Below are 20,908 nucleotides of genomic sequence, written 5' to 3'. Positions count from 1 at the left end.
ATGTTTTCTAACAACAGATTATCTATTCTTAAAGCAATTGCACATAAAAACTGAATTAGGCATGCCTTGATGTATTTGCAAGTACAGTCCTGTGCCATATAACATTTTGGTAATGATGGACCACATATATGACAGTGGTCCCATAAGATTATAATACCCTATTTTAATTGTACCTTTTCTGTATTTAGATGTGTTTAGATACACAGATAACATTGTGTTATAATTGGCTACATTATTCAGTATAGTAACATGTTATACAGGTTGGTAGTCTAGGAGCAATACGGCATACCACATAGCCTAGGAGTGTAGTAGGCTGTACCATCTAGGTTTGTATAAGTACATTTTATGATGTTTGCACAACAACAAAGTCAACTAATGACACATTTCTCAAAATATAGCCCTGTTAAGTGACGCATGACTGTAATTAATCTGAAGTTATTTAAAAACATACATGGTATATTTTCAGTACATATTACTAATAATTCAGACTTTATATTAATTTACGTCAGTAGTCAACCAAACAGGCTACATTATTTGTTTTGTGCTTTTGTGTATCTTTAGTGTTTGGGGAAAATATGCTTTGCAAAAAAATTTGTAGAAATATCGTCAGCTTATTTCATAGCAGAATGCTTACTAAGGTACTATAGCTCTTTGCTTAGAAAATTGTAGAACATGTATATTATTGATATACATAACTCATTTAATATCAAGACAGATTTGTATTTGTGTTTAAAAGTTATTAGAAGTGTAAACTCACTGAAAAATTATATAAGGTGGCATCATCATTTTTTAAGATTAGGCTTCAGTGTCTAATTTCTGTTTGCTTATTTGTTCACAGTACAATGATCTCTTTTGACACCATCCCTGTTGAAACATTGCTACCCTTGCAAAAAATGAGCTAATCTTACAGATGATGGAGATATATGCTTCTCATATTTAAAGTATAATTGATAGTGTGAAAATTACTGAGGAATGGTTTTTTTTTTTTCGCACATATACTGAACAAATGATAGCTTTTAACAATTGCACCCTGTTCTAATGTTCTTGCATCCAGAGGGGAAGGGTCATAAGGAAAAAGAATTTAACAGTGGGAGGAGGAAGTTTTTGCTGATTCATCCCTCTCCAAATGGAACACACTGGGATCAGATGAGTCAAATAGTGTTGAGGGCGAAGGGTTAGAAGACAAGTAGAATGAAAGGTCCGGGGATGTGAACCACCCATGCACAGAGAATGCCTGCAGTGTGTTACCTCAACAGGAGCAGCTTCAGGAAAGAAGCCTTTTCTGATTTTACTGCATAAAGAGAGAGGATTCCAGCTGATTTCAACATCAAAATAGAGATAGATATGCTGATTCCACATCATCTCTATTTGGGGGATCATATGAACCTTCCATGAGTGTGTGGGTAGACAGAGGTCATCCAAGCGGAGGGAGTCGGCATTTAGTAGACCGAGAAAGGTGAATGTTAATATCATACCCCACTGGTCTTGAGGACATCAAGGTCAGTTTTTCCTCATGACCAGAAATATTTATTATTATTAAGGACTGGACTCAGTAACTTAAAAATTACGATGAATTTCAATGAATTTCTTCCTAGCACATATACAGCTCATCTTACTACCTTCTAAAATTCGCCTTTCTTAGGTTTACAGAGACTACGCAATGTAAAAAAAAAATTACAAATAAATAAAATTTGCCTTTCATTAGGAGCTACCTCTTAAGTTAACTAAGCAGTTACCCCTGGTATAGAACACTTGAAATATATTACAAATAGGAGGATTTTTTTCCCTATATTTTGTAAACTCTTTCTAATAGTTTCATATAAATTTTTTAGTAGAGTCAGAAACATTCAGAAATCAATAATCTCAGAAAATTCCTTCATATTGTACATTTCTCTCTGTCACTTTTCTTCCCTATCCCTGCCTCTCACGCACAGATAGCATGTTTGTGGCCAAATCTTAGATAGTAACCCAGGACGTAAGGGTTAATTGCTGATTGTAGACAAGCAAGCTGATCTGGAGACATCAAGCCCTATGGCATGCTTAGAACTTATTTAAGAATTGTCAGGGCCAGGTGTGGTGGCTCATGTCTGTAATCCCAGCACTTTGGGAGGCCGAGGTGGGCAGATCACCTGAGGTCAGGAGATCAAGATCAGCCTGACCAACATGGAGAAACCCCATCTCTACTAAAAATACAAAATTAGCCAGGCGTAGTAGCACATGCCTGTGATCCCAGCTACTTGGGAGGCTGAGGCAGGAGAATCGCTTGAACCTAGGAGGCAGAGGTTGCAGTGAGCGGAGATCGTGCCATTGCACTCCAGCCTGGGTAACAAGAGTGAAACTCCGTCTCAAAAACAAACAAACAAACAAAAATTGTCAGGCTGTTCAGTGTGTAGCTTATAAAGCTACATCGTAGTGTCAAACCCTCTGCCTTGCCTTTAATTCAACAAATAGCGCTTGAAGGGGTACTACCTCTCCCTTCAGTGATACCTACTCCCCTCCCTTTTCTGCCCATCACCAAGTTACCATTTTGTTTTTGTCTTTTATTTTGCTGTGGTTTTTAATATGAGTACAGTGTAAACATAATTATCTTTATATTTTTTAATTTTTTGTTGTTGTTGTTAGAGATGGTGCTGTGCTGTCCAGGCTGGAGTGCAGTGGCTGTTTACAGGTGTGATCATAGAGCATTACAACCTCAAACTTCTAAGCTCAAGTGATCCTCCTGCCTCAGCTTCCCAAGTAGCTGGAACTACAGGAATGCACAACTATGCCTGGTGATTAGCTTTATTGTAATGGAGAAAAGCCAAGCGGTGTTCAAGGCATTCTAGACAAAACCATTGACCTCATAATATTTACAAACTATAGGCCAAAGCGGAAACATACACAGACAATAATGGTTAAGATTTTCCAAGCGCCTGTCATATACCAGGCAGAGTAGTGTACGTTTTCTTACGGAGTCCACGACGTTCAGATCTCACCTTTGCCATTTACTAGCTTTGTGGCCTTGGTTTTGTCAGATGTAAAATGGGAAAATTAGTAGCACTTAATTCATAAGGTTGTTGCAAGCACTGTATTAGTTAAGCAAATGTTTAATATATGTTTTATAATTATTAAGTAGAACTTTTAAAGTAAAAAGGAAAAATAAAGAAATGTTGAAAGGCTTTGGTTTAACTAGGAGGCCGTTTTTTAACTTTCATTAAATCTGTTTATGAAGCCATCAGTCCTTTTTTTTTTTTTTTTTGTAGAACTTTTTGTCGTTGATTCATTACAAAATGGTTCTTATAGTTTAATAAGCAGGAGAGGCTAAGGCCAAAACCTTTGGCTAGAATAAAGGGTCTGACTACTGGTTATATAACTTTTGTAATTATAAACCCTACAACTGTCACCAACACACACATAACCTGCATACAAATGCACAGACACACACACATACGGGCACACACATGAAACTGTGAGAATCTGTAAAATCTGCAAAGGATTTTTGTATCCCGAGAGTCTAGCATAATAATTTGTGCGTAGTATGTTCTAAATAATTAGTTGGTTCCTACTGATAGACCCAGTTTTGTCTGGTCCTTCTTGAAAAGCTATAATAAAACAACGTCCACCCCCATCCAGCCCTTTCCCAGGTGGCTACTGGAAATGTAAGGTGGCACAATGTTTCAGAAAAACAATTTGCTTATTTTTATCAAGAATCTTTTTTAAAGGTCCATATAATTTGTCCTACTAATTTAACTTCTGAGACTGTATCATAAGGAAATAGTAGCTTTACCATAAAGATATTTATGTCTGTATCTGCTTATTCAAAAAGAAAAATTTTGGCATAACCTAAATGGCTGTAAGAACAGAAAGGAAGATAATTAAGTAAACCTTGGATGCTTCACTAAATTTGGAAATCCATGTCCTTTTGGAAGGGAATTCCTTCAACTTTGAAATTTTGTTTATTTATATCATTGAGATAACATCTGCTTAATTCAGATCCTTCTGTGAGAAGGTAAGATATGCTATAAATAAAAAAGTTGCTAAACGCATTTCATATTTATAGTATAAGTTCATAAATTGTTAAAATTGTCTTTAAAAAGATTCTTTAAACAACAAATATTATGTCATCTGAAAAAGGAATACAAAATCGTCTACAAAGTAGAATCTCATCTATCTAAACAATGCATAGGAACAAGATCAACTGGCTAGATGTCATGTTGTTCAAAGATGCTGCTCAGCCATAAAAAAGAATAAAATCATGTCCTTTGCATCAACATGGATGCCATCATCCTAAGCAAATTTACACAGGAACAGAAAACCGAATACCACACATTCTCACTTATAAGTGGGAGCTAAGCACTGGGTGCACATGACCATGAGGATGGGAACAGTGGACACTGGGGCCTACTAGAGGGCGGAGAAAGGGAGGGGGACAAGGGCTGGAGGACTGCCTGTTGGGTACGGTGCTCATTGCCTGGGTGACAGGATCATTCATACCCCAAATCTCAGCATAATACAATATACCTATGTGACAAACCTGCACATGTATTACCAGAATCTAAAATGCACGTTGAAATTATAAAATTAAGAATATAAGATAATGTGATAAACAACAATAAGAAAAGAACAAATCCCTGCCTAGGAATCTTATGCAGAAGCTCTTGATAAGGATATTTTCATATTCTGCAAGCTTAAAGCGTTCAGAGAACACTATTGTGTATTAAACTATCTTGTATATGTAAAGGAAAAAAAAACAAAGGTGCTGCCTCTAAGTGGTAAGATTATGAGTGATATTTTTTCCTTCTAGATGCTTTATATGCATGTAGACCTTTCAGACTTGCTACTGTATGTGCGTGTGTGTGTGTAGACATACATATATATACACATACATATATATACATATACATACCTATATATGAGAGATATATATAAGATGCATGTTTATCTTTATATCATGTATAATACAGACATGTATAATACAGACATAAAACAAAGAGAATTTTACGCAAAGACTCAGAAGGAAGAGTAATAATTTCATGCATTGAAGAAACAGATTTGAATATAGTGTTTCTTCCACATCTTATGTTACCTGAGCATAATGGATATAATTTCCTTGTTTTAGTTTTAATAAGGTTATTTCTCTGCTGTAGTATGAAAGTGTGTCTCCTAAGTCTTCAAACTGTATGAAATCAAAAGATAACTCAGTTACAAGTTGTTTGGGAAAAGTATTTAGTGTACTTAAAACATTTCTACTTTAATTTTTGTGTCTCATAATTATCAGATTTATTCTCTTTCCTGAAATATTTTAATGGATTTTAAAATCGATGTACTTTTGGGAGGCGATTCCTTCAATTTTGAAATTTAGTTTATTTATGTCAGTTGAGGTAGGACCTACTTAATTCAGATCCTTTTGTGAATCGGTAGAATATGCTATAAGTTAAATCTGTCAATGACTCAAAGTCAGAGAGGATATTTTAAGTCTTATATTTTTATGAGTATATTATGTCTTAATTTTTTTGTGTGTAGTTGCTACTGTGCTCTTTAGGCAGAGTAAGTCTAAATTTGCAAGGCTTCCTTGGAAGCAAAGATAAGAATTTGACATTTTTCTTTGATATGCTTGTAACTAATTTTCTCTGAGAAAAGTCAGATGTCTCTTGCAGTGAGTATGGTGGCATTTTCCCACTTATGTGTATTGTGTTAATTTCTCCCATCTTTTAGAAGAGCAATATTGCATATTGTTTATTGTAGGCCATACTGGGTTAAATAGTGCATACCACTAGTCTGATTATTTTCAAGAATTGTTTCTGTTGCTATCACATAAATAGAAGCTAATATTTAGCGTTAGTTGATGAGTTCTGCTTCCAAGCATTCCTTTTTTAAAGAGTATATTTTATTTATCTCCAATGTGTGAACAAATAGCTCAGAATTGCTTTCTGAAATGGTATGGAAAGAATAATGAAGCCTCCATGCAGTCATAAAAAATGAAAATTTAGGCTAGTATCTGCATGGAATCTTCTGCGAATGTACATCCATGCAGTACCAGGATATCAGAGATGATACAAAGCATTTTTTTTGCCTTGGGTTTTTAATATCTTTTTTTTTTACTTTTTTTTATTATTATACTTTAACTTCTGGGGTAGATGTGCAGAACGTGCAGTTTTGTTACATAGGTATACACGTGCCATGGTGGTTTGCTGCACCCATCAACCTATCACCTACATTAGGTATTTCTCCTAATACTGTCCCTTCCCTAGCCCCCGACCCCGCAAAAGGCCCCAGTGTGTGATGTTCCCCTCCCTGTGTCCATGTGTTCTTGTTGTTCAACTCCCACTTATGAGTGAGAACATGCAGTGTTTGATTTTCTGTTCTTGGGTTGTTTGCTTAGAATGATGGTTTCTGGCTTCATCCATGTCCCTGCAAAGGACATGAACTCATCATTTTTGTGGCTGCATAGTATTCCATGGTGTATATGTGCCACATTTTCTTTATCTAGTCTATGACTGATGGACATTTGGGTTGGTTCCAGGTCTTTGCTATTGTGGATAGTGCTGCAATAAACATGCATGGGCATGTGTCTTTATAGTAGGGGTTTTTCATATCTTTTTATAATTCACATTGGTAGATAATACAAATGTAAAGCTAAAAATGAATTAAAAACCTTTGTTTACATTTTACCCTGGATATCTATGTTTAATTTCAGATTTGACTATTTATCACATATTTGACTATTATCCACCATAACCCTTATTACACAGAATCTTGGAAGCCAAAATAAATTTTCTTTTATTTTCTTTTTTCTTTTTAGTTTTTTTAGGGACAGAGTCTTGCTCTGTCACCCAGGCTGGAATGCAGTGGCTCAGCCATGGCTCAGTGCAACCTCAACCTCCTGGGCTCAACCAGTCCTCCCGCCTGAACTTCCCAAGTATCTGGGACTGCAAATGCATGCTACTACGCCTGGCTAATTTTTAAATTTTTGTAGAGATGGAGGTCTCACTATGTTGCCCAGGCTGGTCTTGAACTCCTGGGCTCAAACACTCCTCCCTCCTTGGCCTCCCAGAGTGCTAGGATTACAGGCGTGAGCCACTGTGTCTGAACATAAATTTTATTTAATACTTTTGTTATAGCCACCTTTTTCAGTCATGAAGATGAATGTGTTTGCAATAAAACATGGACTTGTTTGAAATGAAATATCAGCTATTTAGAAATAATATTTGATGGCTGTAGAAGCTTCAATCAAATGTTTTTAAAGTCTAGATTTTTATTTCTTTTTTTATATTTCCATCACCTAATTCATTTGGAGATAGAATTTACCTCTTCACATAGCAAAGTATATATTTAGAGTTTTATAGTATATAAACTAGGTTCTGTTGTGAATTTTAATTTTAATCAAATAGTTCTCTGAAAACTTTTTTTAAATGGCTGAGAATATTAGAAACCAGAAATATAAACACTAAAGACTGTTAAAGTTTTCTGTTTTATTCTAAGGAGGGATTACTTAGATAGAAGGTTTCTTTTTTGTTATGAAATTCCTCAAATAGATTCTTTAAATCATACATTTTCAGGTAAATTGTCTCAACTTTCCCTGTTACTTTTTACAGCTAAAGCTAAATTTTTTTATTAGAATTCTTAATGATTAATTGATGATACTCAATACAAGGTTTTTAATGTTAGGAAAGAAATTACTGCAAAAAAAATAGAGAATTGCAACTGGATGAATTCTAAAAAAAAATGCAGGAAAATTGGACCCTGGAGCAAAACCATCAAACTTCTGATTCAAGCACACATTGTTTTAGATTTTAAAAAATGTATATGACTTTATGGTTGAAAGCAAATAGGCAAGAGAACATTCCATTTGATGACTGATTATAGGCAGTCAACTTTTTTTTAACCTAGTTTATTTAGACTGTGGATATGATGCAAAACCAAAATCATTGGAATGTGTATCTGGAAAAGACCAAAGAATGATAGAATTACAGTCAAGCAGACATAGCGATTCGACTAAACATACAGCCCATTGGCTGTGTTGTTGATGGCCAATAAAATCTCAGTGAGAAAAGGACTGCTGAGAAGGAATGGGTCCTGTAGGAAAGACTTTGGAGCCCATCTTTGGAGAAAGATCATGGATGTAAAGTAGAGAGAGCAGAAGAACAAACCACAGGATACAGGATAGGGGCAAAATATTGTCTCCTGTTGCTCTCAGTTTTGTGAAGAAACCTAAGCTGACATGACAGTCCTCTCCAAATGTTTAATGATCTTCCTCTGTTGTCTAAAACTGACCACTTAACTGGTAAGGGCCAGTTAACACAGTCATCCAGCCAACCACTTATTCATTTGTTGATTCATTCAACACAGTTTATCATGTGTCAACTCTGTTGCACTGGGACCTTATGTAAGGACACAATTGGTGCCTTCCAGACACTTTATCTAGTCGGGAGTGGTGGGGGCAACTATGGCAAATGGGAAAACCTAATGGTTAACATTTATTAAGTAAATGATTGTACAGCAAGCCCCATGCTAAATATTTTATCTATAACATCACACTTAATACTCATAACAATCCTTTGAAGTAGTTATTGGTGTTCCCCTATTTTGAAATGAGGAATTCGAGGGGTAGGACAGTATAATAATTGTCTAATGTGATATTGCTAGTAACAGATCAAGCCTGGACTGAGACACAGTACAGTCTGATTCAGCCCCATGCCCTGCCTACCACTACATGAAGGTGGAATATTCGGCAACTGTTACTAAACATGATTTCAGTGATTATGTATTGGCCAAAATATGTTCACAGAATATTTTGTGGGAAAAGGCAGACTAAAAATCAAAGGGTACACATATTCTCAATTTTAAAAAGCTACCAAAATTTTCAGTCCCTGGATAGGAAGATTAAGGGTAAGGGATTTTCTTCCTTCTCTGCTTCCTTTTTTCTTCTACCCCTCTTCTTCACCCTCCCCACTCCTCTTCATCCCTTTCTTTCTCCTCCCCTTCCACCCTTCTTTCTTTATGTATTTTCCAAATATTTATAATGTGTATATAGCAGTCTTATAATATGCAACATATTATTAAAGGTTTACTTTAATAACACAATTCCAATATATGAGGAAATAAAATAGATATTTAGTCATTTTAACAGGGATGTATCCATTTGGTATATCAAGATCAGAATAAAAATTGTGTATATGCATTTTATTGGTAATATATATTTTAAATTTTTATGCATGGATTTGCTTCATCTGGGAGTTCATAGCACCCTAGCCACAGTAGCTTGCTATTAATGCTAAAGGCTTATTATTTTAATTTTATTAAAGAGTAAGCAGTGTTGCATTTCATTAGGAGAAAACCTCTTTGAGTTATTATGTCCAACATAGTGAAGTTTAGTCTTTATGTCCACCACTTTCAGAGCACAAGGGCTTCTGCACATGGGGTTTGGTCTTATCGATGGGACAGGGTGTCAACAGTAGGGTGTTGGTCTCTTGCCGAGGTTTGCTATGTGTGAAGTAAAGAAGAGCAGATACCAGAATACAGGGGGTCCAGCAAAGAGACAGCTGATGCATGTCAAAGAGGTGAGAGGTTATCAGGAAACCAAGGAGGTCCACTGGGAGGCTAGTAGGGTATGTATTTCTCACTCATAAGTGGGAGCTAAGCTATGAGGATGCAAAGTCATAAGAGATATATAATGGACTTTGGGGACTCGGAGGGGAAGGTTGGGGAGGTGGGAGATGAAACTACTTATGGGGTACAGTGTACATTCTCGAGTGATGGGTGCACTAAAATCTCATAAATCACCACTAAAGAACTTATCTATGTAACCAAGAACAATCTGTACACCAAAAACTTAATTTTTTAAAAGAAGTAACACCATGAACCTTTTTGCTGATAGCTTTCTAAATCATACCTAAAAAATTTTAAATTGTTTTACAATTATATATAATAATAAAATTATGCACATAATTTTAATTATGTAAAATATAATTTAGATATAACCTATTACATAAATATAATTTTAAAAAATAAGAATTAACATTTATTGAATGTTACCATATGCCTGCCATATGCAAGGCACTGTTTTAAGTACTTACTATCCCAAAATCAATCTCAGAAGCTAAAATTGGGGTCAGTGGAGCCTGATGGTACACCAGTTTATGCTTCACAAGTTCTTATCAGATAGTTACCAATTTTTACCTCCATTTTATAGATGAGGAAACCAAAACACAGAGAGGTTAAATAATTTGCAAAGAACATGCAGCTAGTATTTGGATAGTCAAGGTTTGTCATAGCCCTTCATTCTTAAGTAACTACACTATTATCAATCATATATAATATTTTTAAAAAAACAGTTATGCATTTTAGATAGATTTTCTTCTTTCCTCAAGCCCTGGGCCCTGTTGACTGTAATCATCAAAGACTACAAGAATGAGGAGTAAGGGAAAAGAGAGGAAGCCAAGAGCCATTAATAAGCCGTGATTCTCTAACCTAGTCCTGAGACCAGGGCTCCCAGATGGGAAGGGGAAGAAGCTGAGAACAAGAGGCGTTTTTCCCTCACGCCTTCATGTCTTCAGCTACTGAGGAAAGAGCTGAGGATTAGGTGTAGGGGAGGAAAGGAATGCAGAGGCTATCTCTTCCTTCTTCTGTTGCATATTTTAGCAATGTGCTACAAAGGCCTCAAGCAGAGGAGAAAGGAGAGGAGGAACAACCTGAGACTCTAAAGTATAAAAAGACCATGGGTGATCCAGCAAAGACTGTCAGTGCTGAATATTCAACCATCTCTCCCACCAGCCCACACCCCTGCCCCTCACACCCTTCTCTTTTAAGGACCTTGGGCAGGTGTTTAAGTATTTTGAAATTTATGTTAATTGTAAAAATAGCTACTATTTTTAAAAATAGAGATGGGAGTCTCACTATGTTGCCCAGGCTGGATTTGAACTCCTGGGCTCTAGTGATCTTCCTGCCTCAGCCTCCGAAAGGGCTAGGGTTACAGATGTAAGCCACCATGCCCAGCCAAAATAGCTGGCATGTCTGTTTATATCTAGTTTATAGAAAATGTAATATGCAAAAACTTACAGTTTCTTAAAATTTGGTTAATAGAATGATTCTCGTCTTTATCAAGGACCATATATAACAGGATATCTTAAAATAGGAATATAATAAACTGCCTTTAAAATATGATTCAGTACAAAATAATTTATGCAAAATTTGGAGTCAACAGTTACCCTCTTGATGTAAAGAGAGGAACACCTAAATTATGTACTGCTCTGGCATGTTAATACCTAGACTCGTTTGTAGCCCATAGGTATTTAATAAATGCTGACATAACATGCACTCCACTATTTTCAAAGTGCACACCTGTGTGTGGGGTATATGAATAAAAGTTTCTGAAGTGTGAATTCTTTCATCATTTAAAAAATAAGCATGATTCCTGTATAGCTGGATTTTCTTTTTATCAGTTGTAGAAAATCCTCAGATATTATACTTCAAATATTGCCTCCCTTCCTTTCTATTTTATTTTTTCCTTTTAGGACTCTCATTAAATGTACATTAAACCTTCTCATCCCCTGTCCTCTGTATCTCTTAACCTCTTTTGCATATTTTCTATCTCCAGGTCTCTGTGCTGCATTCTGAGTAATTTCTCCTGATCCATCATTCAGTTTATTAAGTCTGTCTTTAACTGTGCTTAAATGGTTGCTTAATCCTTAGAGTTAATTTTACCCAATTTTAGCATTTGAGTGTCTGTTATGAGCAATTCTAACTGCTTTTAAGAAGCATGAGGCTTTTATTATTTCTTAGAGGTCTTCCAAAAAACAAAAAGAATTTACAAATTTTAAAGGAATAAAACTCATTCTCTCTTGAAACTATCATATGGTTGCACTGGATCATTTTATCACTTTGCTCTTCTATATAGATGACTTATAAAAATGACTTTAAAATATGAGCAATGAAAGGATCCACTGTGTCCAGATGATAAGCGGGGATGAGTATTTTTCCAGCCATACTCTGGATTAAGCCATCAATAGAGTATTTTTAATTTCAATAGCTATGTTTTTTTCTAAAGGTTTCCTATTTCAATCTTCTAACTTACTAACCAATCTTCATTTTACATTGCCTGTATGAACCTAGACTTTGTGATTATTCCCAAACCTTTCCATCTTTATCAAGACATACCACTATTCCTTCCAAACCACTTTTTATTACCAATTTCTGAGCTAAAAACTATAGCCAAAGTTGTTTCACTTTAATTGTGCTCCTCAATAATAACATTGACATTTCTTTATGTGTGTGAATTTTAAAGTAATGGCATTTTACAAAATGCTGCCAGTTTTTTAACCTCAATTTTGTTGTTTGTTATCACATTTGCTTTAGCAATTTCTCTGGTACTCTGTATGATTGTAGTTTCAATTCGATATGTGCACTCACCTCATCGTTTTATTAAATTAATACCTAATACAGTTCAGAGCCATGTCTTGCTCACATTTCTCAGTATTGGATAATTCTTGTTTATTAGATTTATAGGCCTGTAGATTCACTATCACAGCTCTCTTGGGCAATTTATCTGAAGAGAGAAGGTTGCTATTTATGTCTTTACCATCAGCACATTAACTTGTAAGAGGAATTGGGGGTGGGGGAAAGACATGACTTGACATTCAGTTTTACTCTAATTAAAAGGCCAATTCATAGCACCCTTGTGGGGTCATAGAGCATTTTTAGAACTGAAGTGTGATTTGGTATAAATCACACTCCAGGCTAAGTGTCTTTGGTGGTACGTCCAAAATTCCCCCAATTTTCTTATAATAGCATTATAACCCATTCATGTTCATGTTAATATATATGGGCTAAGGGAGAATAAAAAGTTAATATATTTGTCTTCTCATTCTCTTGAATTAATCTACAGGAAATAGTCGAACAACATTTAAACTTTGTGCAAAATGATGCATATTGTAGCATTTTCTGTGACAGAAGTGAATGAACATTACTTAATTTCCGATATTAAATTATGAGGCATCAACTTGATGAACTATTATGCAGACATTTAAGTACTAGCGATAACTATAGAAACCTAAGGCCATATTTTGATACATGGCAAGTGAACAAAATAGAAAATGCAATTGAATGCACTCAACGATTATAACTAGGCAAATCTGTAGACTTACGGACATAGATTAGACAAGAAAATATGAAAATAATAAGAATTGTGTTAGCTTTGGGAATTAAAGGTAATTTTATTCATTTGAAATATTTCACTTAGATGTTATTATGTGATTTTTTTACAGCAAATATGCAGTTTTTAGAAGGAGTGAAGAAAAAAAGTATAGCCAAATATAGGACATCTCAATTCTCTCACAGATCAGGTGCTTGCAGAGTTGTCATACTCCCTGGTGAGAGATTTTCAATGTGATAGTGAAAGGGACCATGTTTAAACCATATCTTTTGGAAAGAGAGAGAGCATTTTGAAGGGATAGCTTTAGCAGAGGAAATGAAGCTGGATCACTTATCTCGTTTTCTTTTTCATTTTTATCGTTGTTCACAGGTTTAATGTCTTCTCATGCCCAGCCCCTGAAGCTGATTTCACCATGCCCATATTCCCTTTCCTCAGGTATGCTTTAGCCTCTAAAATGCACGCTTCACTCAGTTTAATGACTTCCATGATATCTTCCTTAACTTTCTAATCAATTTTCTTTCCCCATTATATCTCCCAATTTAAATAACATTTCTTGTCTTCTTTTGAGCCCTGCCTAAATGCTTGTTTTCCTGAAGAAGCTACTCAGTGTGGCCTCATCCCACACTCTGTCCTGCCTTATAATCTATTATACCAACTCATATATCACTCCCTTCTCTTAATGATCCTAGTTTTTCTTATGATTTTGCTAATATCCATTTGAACATTTTTTTTAAATTTTGGTACATGTCCTTGGGTTGGTTTAATATACATTTACCCTGATTCTTCATTCTCATTTTATTGACAAGTGTAGGTACCTTGTACCTTCCTTTTCCTTGCCTATTTGCACAGTCCTCAGAGCAGTGATCTGTATCGAGTATGTATCAGGAAATATTGTCAATTGATTTAGAAGCTTTGATAGTTTTAAATGGAGAGATGCCAAGTGCTTATTTTCAGCGGAAAACTGATCGGGAAAGTGGTAACTTTTCAGCACTTACCGTGTGACTAGCAGTAATTTAAACACTTTTCATTTATCTTTAATTTATTCCTACCCACAACCTTATTAGGTGGGTGTGGTTATTATTACCCCATTTTTATAGTTAAGGAATCAAGGAACAGAGAGGCTAAGCAAGCCATGTACATGTCTGAGAGGGTATCCCAGACTCAAAAATGATCCACCAAATGGTGGAAATTGCCACAGGATTGTGGAAATATTTTATTTTATTTTAGTATTTCAAAACTTGGGAGATTTCAGATAAGCATGTGAGTTTTAGCTTTTCTTGAAAAATGGAGAAATCTGCCAACAATATGCTAGAGCTGAGTAGAATCTGTTCTTTTAGAGGGGAAATGCACTCCTCCCAGCACATCTCAGTTGGCTCATGTCACTTAAAATTTTTTGTACTATTTCATATTTAAAGATTTTGTTGTGACTGGGTGTGGTGGCTCACACTTATAATCCCAGCACTTTGGGAGGCCAAGGCAGGTGGATCACCTCAGGTCAGGAGTCCAAGACCAGCCTGGCCAACGTAGTGAAACCCCATCTCTACTAAAAATACAAAAATTAGCTGGGCATGGTGGCGCATGCCTATAGTCCTAGCTACTCAGGAAGCTGAGGCAGGAGAATTGTGTGAACCCAGGAGGTGGAGGTTGCAGTGAGCCAAGATCGCGCCACTGCACTCCAGCCTGGGTAACAGAGTGAGCCTCCATCTCAAAAAATAAAAGAATAAAAAATAAAAGGTTTTGTTGCTAATGTGAAATATTACGTATTTGGATGTTTATGACTGTTTAATATTTACAATGTTGAGGATTATGGGGAAAAGTTATTGTGAAATTCCAAATAGTTCAAGAATTTGAAGGTAATTGGTTCCTGGTGTGGTTTGGCTGTGTCCCCACCCAAATCTCGTCTTGAATTGTAACTCCTACAATTCTCATGTGTCATGGGAGGAAGTGGTGGGAGATGATTGGATTATGAGGGGTGGGTCTTTTCTGCACTGTTCTCATGATAGTGAATGAGTCTCATGAGATCTGATGGTTTTAAAAACGAGTTTCCCTGCAGAAGCTCTCTTTGCCTGCTACCATCCACTTAAGATGTGACTTAGTCCTCCTTGCCTTCCGCCATGATTGTGAGGACTCCCCAGCCACATGGAACTATAAGTCCGTTAAACCTCTTTTTCTTCCCAGCCTCAGGTATGTCTTTATCAGCAGCATGAAAATGGACTAATACCATAAATTGTGACTGGGACTAAGGCATTACTGAAAAGATACCCAAAAATGTGGAAGAAACTTTGAAACTGGGTAACAGGCAGAGATTGGAGCAGTTTGGAGGGCTCAGAAGAAGACAGGAAAATGTGGGAAAGTTTGGAACTTCCTAGAAACCTGTTGAATGGCTTTGACCAAAATGCCGATAATGATATGAACAATGAAATCCAGGCTGAGGTGGTCCCAGATGGAGATGAGAAACTTGTTGAGAACTGGAGCAAAGGTGCCTCTTGTTAATTTTTAGCAAAGAGACTGGCAGCATTTTGCGCCTGCCCTAGAGACTTGTGGAACTTTGAACTTGACAGAGATGATTTAGGGTATCTGGCAGAAGAAATTTCTAAGCAGCAAAGCATTCAAGAGATGACTTGGGTGCTATTAAGGCAGTCAGTTTTATAAGGAAAGCATAGCATAAAAGTTTGGAAATTTTGCAGCTGTACAATGTGATAGAAAAGAAAATCTCATTTTCTGAGGAGAAATTCAAGCCAGCTGCAAAAATTTGCATAAGTAATGAGGAGCCAAATGTTAATCCCCAAGACAATGGGGAAAATGTCTCCAGGGCATGTCAGAGGTCTTCATGGCAGCCCCTCACATCACAGGCCCAGAGGCCCAGGAGGAAAAAATGTTTTCATGGGCCATGCTGTGTGCAGTCTAGGAGGGACTTGGTGCTCTGCATCCCAGTCGCTCCAGCCATGACTAAAAGGGGCCAAGGTACAGCTTGGGCCATGGCTTCAGAGGGTACAAGCCATAAGCCTGGCACCTTCCCTGTGGTGCTGAGCCTGTGGGTGCACAGAAGTCAAGAATTGGGATTTGGCAACTTCCACCTAGATTTCAGAGGAGGTATGGAAACACCTGGATGCCCAGGCAGAAGTTTGCTACAGGGACAGGGCCATCAGGGAGAACCTCGGCTAGGGCAGTGCAGAAGGGAAATGTGGGGTTGGAGCCCCCACACAGAGTCCCTACTGGGGCACTACCTAGTGGAGCTGTGAGAAGAGGGCTGTTGCTATTCTCCAGACCTGAGAATGGTAGATGCACTGACAGTGTGCACCATTCACCTGGAAAAGCCATAAACACTCAACACCCACCAGTGAAAGTAGCCAGGAGGGAGGCTGTACACTGCATAGCCACAGGGGCGGAGCTGCCCAAGACCATGGGAACCCACCTCTTGCATCAGTATGACCTGGATGTAAGACATGGAGTCAAAGGAGATCATTTTGGAGCTTTAAGATTCAACTGCCCTGCTGGATTTCAGACTTGCATGGGGTCTGTAGCCCCTTCATTTTGGCCATTTTCTCCCATTTGCAACAGCTGTATTTAGGCAATGCCTGTACCCCCATTGTATCTAGGAAATAGCTAAATTGCTTTTGATTCTGCACATAGGCAGAAGGGTCTTGCCTTTTCTCAGATGAGATGTTGGACTATGGACTTTTGAGTTAATGCTGAAATGAGTTAAGACTTTGGCAGACTGTTGGGAAGGCATGATTCATTTTGAAATGTGAGGACATGAGATTTGGGAGGGGCCAGGAGTGGAATGATATGGTTTGCTTTTGTCCCTGCCCAAATCTCATCTTGAATTGTAACTCCCATAATTCCCACATGTCATGGGAGGAAAAAAAAATAATAAAAATCTCACACACACAACCAGTTTCATTTCTTCAAGCTCCCTACTGATTTTTGTTTCAAACTTATAAGTAGTTTTTATAATTGTAATATATGTACATATACTTATATATACTTACATGTATATATGTGTTTCTGCTGTTCTTTTGCTATTTTATAAATATTTCATATTTTGTTATTACTTATATTTAGCTTTTTAGTGGGATAGCATTCAATCTTATCTATAAATTTTAAATTAATTTGGCTATTGCATATACACACATACATATATGTGTACATAGTTGTACATATATTTCTACTTTTAATATTTTTATAAATATTTCTCCACATTTCCTTATCACATTTATCTTTTTAGTGGTGGCATGCTATTCAGTTACATCAGTATGCTCTAATATACTTGGCTTTCCCCTAATAGGGGGCTTAAGTTGTTTATAGTTAGTTTTTATTTAAGCATCACATAATTTAAAAAATTATATCCATAGATGAATTTACAACAGTGGAATCACTGAACATACTGTTTTCTAATTAGCAAATATTCTCCAGATATCTTCAATTTATAATGTCATTGGCACTGAATGAGTCTACTTATTTTCCCCACCACCCCCTGAAGACTTTTGTCATTAAAAAGTTTTGCTAAAATATTTCCTTTCACTTATATTTCTTTTAAGTATTCAAAATGTGTTAATTTTTTTCACCTTCTGTACTTCTTTTTTAAATTTCCTAACCGTTTACCCACTTATCCATTGAAGTTTTGATAGTAACCATTTTTAAGATTTTTTTATTTTACTAGAAATAAACCCTTGTTATAGTTCATATAAATATTTTTTCTTCCCCTAAGCTTTTTGACATTAATTTTATTGTTCCTCTAGCTCTATTTTTTACCATTTTCCTCTTGAGTATGTCACCTCCTTTTTTTTATCTCTGGATTCTACAACTTAAGTTTTTGTGTTTTTTTTTTTATTTTGTTGGCAAATGTCCTTATACTTATTTGTGCTGGCCACACTTTCCAATTGCCATTTCTAATACTTATTGGTAAACTATGTGTAATTACATTTTCACTTTAAGCAAAATATAAACCTTTGAAATACCTAGTTTCTTCTTATTGCCCTATTTGCTTTCTATTACTAAAGCACTTTCATCCCTTAGTTGAGGCACACCTGATATTAACAATATTTCATAATACTGGCTGCTCAGAATAGGCATACCCATGAACAACTGCACTGGCCATACCAGTGTTGAGCAGATGAACATCAGGCCTGACTGCTGCTCTCACTGCCAACCTTGGTGTCAGATTTTATCACAAAGGAGAGTTAGCAATGAGAGAAGTATTATGTTGGCTTCAATCATCTTGGTATACCTAAGTAGCTTCCACAAAGCTATATACGTGTCTAAAAAGCTACTAGGCAATATATCTTCTTCTTGTCATGTATTAATAGTTGCAACAGCCAATTCTTTCTCACTCACATACAGTTGTTTTTTGTTTGTTTATTTTTTAGAGACAGGGTCTCACTCTGTCACCCAGGCTGGAGTACAGTGGTCAGACCATAGCTCACTGCAGCCTTGAACTCCAGGGCTCAAGGGATCCTCCTGCCTCAGCCTCCCAACTAGTCAGGACTATAGTCACACACTACCATGCCTGGTTAATTTTTAAATTTTTTCTCTAGAGACAGGGTCTTGCTATGTTGTTCAGGATGGTCTCAAACTCTTAGCCTCATGCAGTCCTCCCGCCTTGTTCTCCCAAAGTGTTGGGATTATACCCATGAACCACTGCACCCAGGCTCACATACAGTTCTAATCCACCCTTGATGGCTGCATGCCAAGATGGATCTTCTTGTGGGCTTTGTTTCCCAGTGGTCCATGGCTGCATAACACTATTTTTGTATCATTTCTTCAGACATAGCCAAAGGGAGACGTCTCATTTCATTGTCTTTACAGCACCTTCTTTTAGCTTACAGTTTAGCCATTGCTGCGAATCATCCTGTACTTCTTCCCCACTTATGCTCAGCCAAGAGATGGCATGTTACAGCAAACAGTATTTTACTGGTTTCATTCATGACTTTGTTTTCCATGGAATATAAAATAGCTTTAAATGACATGGATGAAAGTGCCCTTGAATTTCGGTTAGGCAGGATCTTTGAGGACCCGATAGGAAGTGGGACACAACCCCTGTTTGTTCACTTTTGGTCTGCTACTGATTCTCTCCATAATGCCATGGTAGCACACTCACAGACGTGTTTCTTAAGTGCCATACTCTCATTCTCCTATTGACTTTTCCTCTGATTAATTGCTGTATCACTACTGGTAGGTGGCTGCCTGGGTAATTCTTCATTGCAGGTGATAACTTTGGCAATCTTTGAGTGCCAGGAGAAAAATAATATATTCTGTAGAGATAAATGATCCATTAAGTTTGTTGATTTAAAAAATATATATATAATTTTAAAAGAAAGAGGGATGGAAAGAATCAGTGTACCTCATAGATGAGGTTCTTTCAGGCTCAGCTACTACATAGCCTTAGTTGCCTTTGACTTGTGATCCTTGGAAAATCCTGTGCATGTGATTTGGGAACATAGTCAGTGGTATAAAGAAGTTGCTGGCATCCATTTTAACCACACTTAATAGGATTTTTGTGTTTGTGGAATATTTAAAAATTTTTATTTGGCCTCCATTTTCTGTTTTTCAAGGTAAAATGATTTATAACCAATTATCCTCAGATATATTTCTTAAATGTATTTATTTTGATGAAAAGTTTATCCTATGAGTCACCATCTGTGTGTGCGTCTGTCTTTGATCAGTTCTGGGAACGTGCACATTTACACACGACCAGATTCTTGATCTGGACCAGCCTCTGCCTGTCTCAGCTGCAAATGGAAATCCTGTTGACAGCGAGGATTGTGTGAGTGCAGGAAGGGGTCGAAATACCTTCAGTAGGAAAGGTTGAAGGCACTGGACACGTTCAGAATACTGTCATAGCGTTTTAACATATGTAAAAAACTAGCAAGTAAAGCTAGTTTTTCTAAACTAGCTTTCTAAATATTTTCAGATGCAGTAAAGCTGTGAAATATTAAAGCAGGGAAACACACACACACAATCTCTCACACATACACACATGTGCATTAGTCCTGATTGGCATTAGTCCTGATTTTTAGATGTGAACTAGTTGAGGGGGTACCTGGCTTCTGATCTGAGTCATAATAGATTTAAATTTCTATTCGTGAGCCTGAGAAGTTTTGGACTGGATTTCAAAACTGAGTTTGAGCATTTATTTTTTTCCTTTTGGTGTGTCGGGGAGGGAGTGTCTAGAGCCAATGTTAAGCCTGAAAAAATAAGACAATGATGGACCCCCAAAATGTACTTGCAAAGAAGGTGAAACATGCAAGATATCTCATTTTATCCTTATATCTGTTTCTAAAGAATGACAAACATACCTCCTCTTACCTAGGCCCAATAATTGTGAGATCGTATGAGGGAGGCACTCTCTTGTAATAATTCCCTAATCAATGGAATAAATGTGGAGAAAATCGAGCATGATGAATTGCCTTTTGAGTTGAATTAATCCTCAGCTGGCAAAAACCAAAATAAAACAAATGGTCATGGGTACAGAGCAACACAGATGTTCAGAAGCTGAGGAGGTAATCAGCAGTTTGAAAAGGACTCCTCATACGCCATGCTTCTAAAGATATGGAACCAATGACTCATAAAGTGTGAACTTCAAGTTTGGCCCTGGTGGGTGTCAGTAAATAACAGTTGTATGAGAGCAGAGTCTACTCTGCAGCTTCCTCCCAGACTCGTGGTTGTGTGTTTCCTAGAATGCTCCAGTAATAAGTTTACATAACTTGCCCCAAACTTTGGCAACTGAAGGATGTACTCTAGTCCAGTCATGAATGTGACTAACAGAAAAGAATGCGG

At 36.8% G+C, this 20,908-nt stretch overlaps 1 protein-coding gene across 6 annotated transcripts in view, besides 1 other annotated feature; it reads left to right on the top strand.

The window, feature by feature from the left end:
- RNF150 (ring finger protein 150) overlaps nucleotides 1-20,908 on the top strand; it is a 353,094-nt gene that overhangs the window by 145,671 nt on the left and 186,515 nt on the right. For 3 of the 6 annotated variants that reach the window (XM_011532148.4, XM_047415996.1, XM_005263150.6), the window contains one exon: nucleotides 13,499-13,564. The exons of the other annotated variants lie outside the window; for them this stretch is intronic. In XM_011532148.4, coding sequence (XP_011530450.1) covers nucleotides 13,504-13,564 — 61 coding nt within the window. In that variant the 5' untranslated portion in view covers nucleotides 13,499-13,503. The remainder of the gene's footprint in view (nucleotides 1-13,498; nucleotides 13,565-20,908) is intronic. 6 annotated transcript variants of the gene reach the window in all.
- Nucleotides 15,950-16,179: a silencer, noted in NCBI's record as "fragment chr4:141972205-141972434 (GRCh37/hg19 assembly coordinates)". NCBI's record gives its function as "represses an EF-1alpha promoter that drives an FKBP-Casp9 reporter gene in an ReSE screen in HepG2 liver carcinoma cells {active_cell/tissue: HepG2}" and the evidence as "EXISTENCE:reporter gene assay evidence [ECO:0000049][PMID:32094911]".

Source organism: Homo sapiens, chromosome 4 (assembly GCF_000001405.40).
Source record: "Homo sapiens chromosome 4, GRCh38.p14 Primary Assembly".
In the NCBI taxonomy this organism is placed as follows: Eukaryota; Metazoa; Chordata; class Mammalia; order Primates; family Hominidae; genus Homo; species Homo sapiens.
Note: the sequence above shows the minus strand (reverse complement) of the source record. Positions and strands in the feature narration are given on the sequence as shown.